Here is a 6,055-nt window from a genome sequence, read left to right on the forward strand (position 1 = left end):
TAAGCCCGGTGCAAGTACCAATTGTCAACCACTGTGCATTCCCGTCACTGTGTTAAGCACATTTTTTCTTTTCGGCTAACAACCACCTTATGAAAGCCAAAGTGATTCCCATTTTGCAAATCCTATTTTGAAGATATTGGAGTTTGGAGAGGTTAAGTAACTTGTTAAGTTTCGGTCATTATGTGGCTGAAACTTGGGAAATACAGAAATGAATGCGTACTCTCCGTGCTTCCGGACAAGAGACACTACCACCAATAACAAAGACCGGAGTCATTCACGCATTTATGAAAGAAAAGACACAGAAATATACCGTGGGAGGCTAGATCAGGGAGCATTCATTCGACCTGGAGAACACCAAATCTCAAAATTCTAAGACTAACATTTACTACAATTCTTATACTTTTAAGATATTTCTTGACTCTAGAAAGTAAAGATTGTTGACAAAATGCTGGCCAATACTGTACAGCACAATATTGTGCCATATTACACAGTAGGAAATAAACATAAAGGTTTTCCCCGATTTTTTTCCTGTTCCTCTTCACTCTCACCAGTTTCTCTTCCACCATTTATCTGTCTTCCAGGTTTCTTTTTTAAAATTTTATCTGTTTATTTATTTCTGAGACAGGGTCTCGCTCTGTCGCCCAGGCTGGGGTGCAGAGGCGCAATTTCGGCTCACTGCGTCCTCAACCTCCTTGGCTCAAGCCATCCTCCCACCTCAGCCTCCCGCGGGCCACCACACACTGCTACTTTTTTGTATTTTCAGTAGAGAGGGGTTCTTTCATGTTGACCAGGTTCAGCGTTCTTTCTTCAACCCAACTTTTTCCTCCACAAACTCACCTAATCCACTCCCCCAGGTTTCAGAATCCATCTCTCTGCTAATTATTGCCAAAATCTAGAACCAGCTCATTTATCCAGCAGCCTCAGGTGGGAGGCTCCAGCTGAACAGCCTCCAGGCATTAGTTACTGATGAATGAATTCATCAAGATCCACTTAAGAACATTTTTCTGGCCGGGAGTGGTGGCTCACGCCTGTAATCCCAGCACTTTGGGAGGCCAAGGCTGGTGGATCACCTGAGGTCGGGAGTTCGAGACCAGCCTGGCCAACATGGAGAAACCCCATCTCTACTAAAAATACAAAATTAGCAGTGTGTGGTGGTGCATGCCTGTAATCCCAGCTACTTGGGAGGCTGAGGCAGGAGAATCCCGTGAACTTGGGGGGCGGAGGTTGCGGGAGCTGAGATCACACCATTGCACTCCAGCCTGGGCAACAAGAGCGAAACTCCGCCTCAAAAAAAAAAAAATTTTTTTTTCTGCTGAAACGGTCAGGAAGTGTTAGGGTGCTTATGGATAAAAGGTAGTTATTTGCCCTTTAGACTCAGGATTCCTGGGCTCGGGTGTTTCCAGCCTTTTTACCACTAATGACCCTTTCAGTTTCTCCCTGAAAGTTGTGGAGGATTTCTATATAAAATAAAACTGCATTTATTAGCTAATAATTATTTTTCCTTTAAAAAATAGAATCCAGATCCTATATAACAGCCAATCCAAACTTCTACCCAGCCTGAGTCTACTGGCATGGCCTCATTGTACATTAGAATTCCACTTGAAAGCAAAGCACCAGCTCTTAGGGCCCTGGGAAGCCTGAAGAAAGGTAAAATATGATTAGCATCGGACCTCTGGCAATAATGAAAACACTTCAAAGACTCCTATCACTACTGAGGACCAGGGGTCTGGGACCCCAAGTTACACACCACTGCCTCATTTGATAGAGAGGCGCTAGGGTAATGTCATTTTTCAAAAGTAAACCAATAAAATAGAAGGGTATTATATGCTCTGTGACTGTTAAATCCACCTTATACACTAAGGAAATGCCAAGTGTTAGGCAGTGTTAGGAAACTGGAATTCTGCAAGTATCCAAAATTGTGTGGTTGTGATTAAAACCTGTTTCTGTAGAATTTTATCTATAAAAATCTGATTTTTGATTGAGGTGACTGATTGAGTTCCCCATCACAAGGTAACCAGCACCTCCTCCAGGCAGCCCTCCTTCTTTCCTGTAATTCTTCCATGCTTCTATCCATCCACGGTGGCATTTAGCACTCTGTGGACTGTTGGAGGTTAGAGGTGGTGTCTTTTTCACTCTTGTCAACTCAGCCCCCAGTCAGGGATTGGCCCAGACCACCGCAATAAATGTGTTTTTTTGATTTATGGAGATCCAAATCCTGTTGAATGGATGGGTGAATGGGTAAATGAAAGAAAGGAGCCGGGCAAGGTGGCTCACGCCTGTAATCCCAGCACTTTGGGAGGCTGAGGCGGGCGGATCACCTGAGATAGGGAGTTCAAGACCAGTGTGACCAACATGGAGAAACCCCATCTCTACTAAAAATACAAAATTAGCCAGGCGTGGTGGCACATGCCTGTGATCCCAGCTTCTCAGGAGGCTTAGGCAGGAGAATCGCTTGAACCCAGGAGGCAGAGGTTGCGGTGAGCTGAGATCACACCACTGCACTCCAGCCTAGGAAACAAGAGCGAAACTACATCTCAAAAAAAAAAAAAAGAGAGAGAGAGAGAGAGGACCAGGAAATGGCAAAAGGAACAGAGGAGCACTTCTCAGTTCTAAGTCAGTTGTTCATGTCCTATCTGCAAGTAGGGGAGGGAAAGAACCAACACTTATTGAGCATCTATAATGAGGTCATGCTATGGGCACCCTATTGTTTTTATTTATTCTCATAATCTCTCTGAGTTTAGATACTATTATTCCCATTTTTATAGATGAGGAAATATTAATAGGATCTGAGAGGTAACTTGTCTAAAGTCCCAGGCAGTGAGCAGATCAGTTCAAAGTTAACTTTATTTGACATGTTGTTAAATATCCCCCAAAAACAAAATGGCAGAGCTTCATGGAGACTTGGAGAACTGTCTGTCACTGGCTGGTTCTGCCTGCCCCATATTCTAGCACCTTAGGTACTCTCATTTATTCTGTTTGTCTAGGCAGAATGGCTTTCTCTGCCTTGTCTGTACACATCCCAAACACGGCCTCTCTAGCCTGAGCTTACCACAGAGCTACAGTAATTAAAACAGTGTGGTACTGGCATAAGGATAGAAATATCGACCAATGGAACAGAACTAAGAGTCCAGAAATAAACCTTCACACATTTATAGCCAATTGGTTTTTGACAAGCGTTCCAAGTCCATTCAATGGGGGAAAGAATAATTGCTTCAACAGATGATGCTAGGACAATTGGATTACCACATGCAAAAGAATGAAGTTGGACCCCTGCCTCGCACCATATTAAGAAATTAACTCAGAATGGATTAATAACCTAAATATAAGAGCTAAAAATCATAAAACCCTTAGAAGAAAATTATTCATGACCTTGAATTTGGTAACAGATTTTTTTTTTTTTTTTTTTGAGACAGAGTCTCGGTTTATCACCCAGGCTGGAGTGCAGTGGTGCGATCTCAGCTCACTGCAACCTTCACCTCCTGGGTTCAAGTGATTCTCCTGCCTCAGCCTACTGAGTAGCTGGGATTACAGGAGTGTGCCACCACACCTAGCTAATTTTTTTATATTTGTAGAGACAGGGTTTTGCCATGTTGGCCAGGCTGGTTTTGAATTCCACCTCAGGTGATCCACCTGCCTTGGCCTCCCAAAGCGTTGGGATTACAGGTGTGAGCCACTGCGCCCAGCCTGATAATAGATTCTTAGCTATCACACCAAAAGCACAAGCAACAACAACAAAAATAGATAAACTGGGCTTCGGAAAACTTAAAAACTTTTTTGTGCATCAATGACATTATCAAGAAAATGAAAATACAGCCTACAGAATGGGAAAAATACAGCTAATTCTCATTATTCACAGTTATTACATTCTATAAAGTCACACTGAATTAGCAAATCCTGAACACATGCTCCTAGGGTTAGGGTCCTGGGAGCCTCTGGTCACAATATATTTATCAATCAATCAAAACATCACCATGTTTTGTATTTTTCTGTTTAAAGACACCTTATTTAATACTGTTGATTGATTAACACTGAACTCATGACTAACAGCACTGTAACTCATGCCTGAATGAAGCTTATCTAACGCATATTTTCTCCATAGGGCACATGACAGCCTTCTAATATTTAGAAACACTGACAACACTTCAGCACTACACTTGGGACCATTTTAAACTGCAGAAAGCAGAAAAATATGGAAAACACAGCACTAAATAGACTACAAAAGGATGCTTTTTCATTCCTATGGACACACACACACACACACACACACACACACACACACACACACTTCTCTACAGTATGAGACCTGAAACAAGGCAAAGCATCTCTTTGGTTGACCTTTGCTGGGAACATCTTTTTGTTGCCATTCTGTACATGTGCAGGAATGACCAAGGAAGTACTATGAATACTGATTTGGGGGTTACAAATACATTTTAATGTGTAGGCAAATTTGCATATACAGAATCCATAATGAGGATCAACTTATTTGCAAATCATAATACAGACAGTCCCCAACTTATGATGGACTTAAGATGGATTTACTAACACATAATCCCATGGTAACCTAACCCCATAGTAAACTGAGAAACACATGGATTTATAATTTATGATTGTGACCAGGTGCAGTGGCTCATGCCTGTAATCCTGGCACTTTGGGAGGCTGAGGTGGGTGGATCACCTGAGGTCAGGAGTTTGAGACCAATCTGGCCAACATGGTGAAACCCCGTCTCTACTAAAAATATAAAAATTAGATGGGCATGGTGGCGGGCACCTGTAATCCCAGCTACTTGGGAGGCTGAGGCATGAGAATCGCTTGAACCAAGGAGGCAGAGGTTGCAGTGAACTAAGATGGTGCCACTGCACTCCAGCCTGGGCAACAGAGACTCTGTCTCAAAAAATAGTAATAGTTTATGATAGTTCAAGTTTATGGTGAGTTCATCAGGGTATTAAATGGATTTTCAACTTACAAAAATTTTAACTTACAATGGGTTTATCAGGACAAACCCCATTCTAAGTCAAGAAGCAACTGTATCTGATAAAGCTGTAACATCCAGAATATATAAAGAACTAAAACTCAGCAACAAAAAGGCAACCCAATTAAAAACTGGGCAAAGGATTGAACAAACTTTCAATATATTCAAAGGAAGATATACAAATAATTATGTGAAAAGATGTAGTTTTGATTTGCATTTTCCTAATGACATTATCACTCATCATTAGGGAAACACAAATCAAAACCACAATGAGACACCACTTCATACTTACTAGGATGGTTATAATTTTTATTATTTTATTTTTAGAGATGGGGTCTCACTATATTGCTCTCACTGGCCTCAAATACCTAGGCTCAAGTGATCCTCCCACCTCAGCCTCCCTGGTAGCTGGGACTACAGACACAGACCATCGCACTGGGCTTATAATCACTTTTTAAAACTGAAAATGAAAGGTGTTGGCAAAAATGTGGAGAAACTGGAATGCTTGTATATTGCTAGTGGAACGTAAAATGGTACAGATGCTTCAGAGAACATTTTAGCACTGTGGAAGAGTTTGGTGGTTCCTCAACAAATTAAACACAGAATACCACATGATTCAGGAATACTACTCCTTGATATACTCAAAAGAACTGAAAATGGGTACTCAGATCCTTGTATACCAATGTTCACCGCAGCATTATTCACAATTGCCAAAAGGCGGGAAAAAAACAAGTTTCCATCAACAGATACATGGATAAACAAAATGTGTGTGGGAGGAAGTGCACGTGTACAGACAAACACACACACACACACACAATAAAACATAAATCAGCCATGAAAAGAAACAAAGTCTTGATATACGCTAAAACATGGATGAACTTGAAAACATTATAAGTTAAAATAAGCCAGACACAAAAGGGCAAATATTTTAGGATTCTACTTCTTTGAAATATCAAGAATACACAAATTCATAGAGACAAAAAGTAGATTAGAGGTTACCAGGGGCTGGGAGGAATGGGGAGTTATTGCTTAATGGTTCCGAGTTTCTGTCTGGGGTGATGAAAAACTTTTGGAAAAGTGGTGAA

At 41.3% G+C, this 6,055-nt stretch overlaps 1 protein-coding gene across 1 annotated transcript in view; it reads right to left on the reverse strand.

The window, feature by feature from the left end:
• The window catches only part of ZHX1-C8orf76 (ZHX1-C8orf76 readthrough), a 48,096-nt gene that overhangs the window by 16,066 nt on the left and 25,975 nt on the right, over window positions 1-6,055 (reverse strand). The gene's annotated exons all lie outside the window — the stretch shown is intronic.

The sequence above is a fragment of the Homo sapiens genome, chromosome 8 (assembly GCF_000001405.40).
Source record: "Homo sapiens chromosome 8, GRCh38.p14 Primary Assembly".
Taxonomy (NCBI): Eukaryota; Metazoa; Chordata; class Mammalia; order Primates; family Hominidae; genus Homo; species Homo sapiens.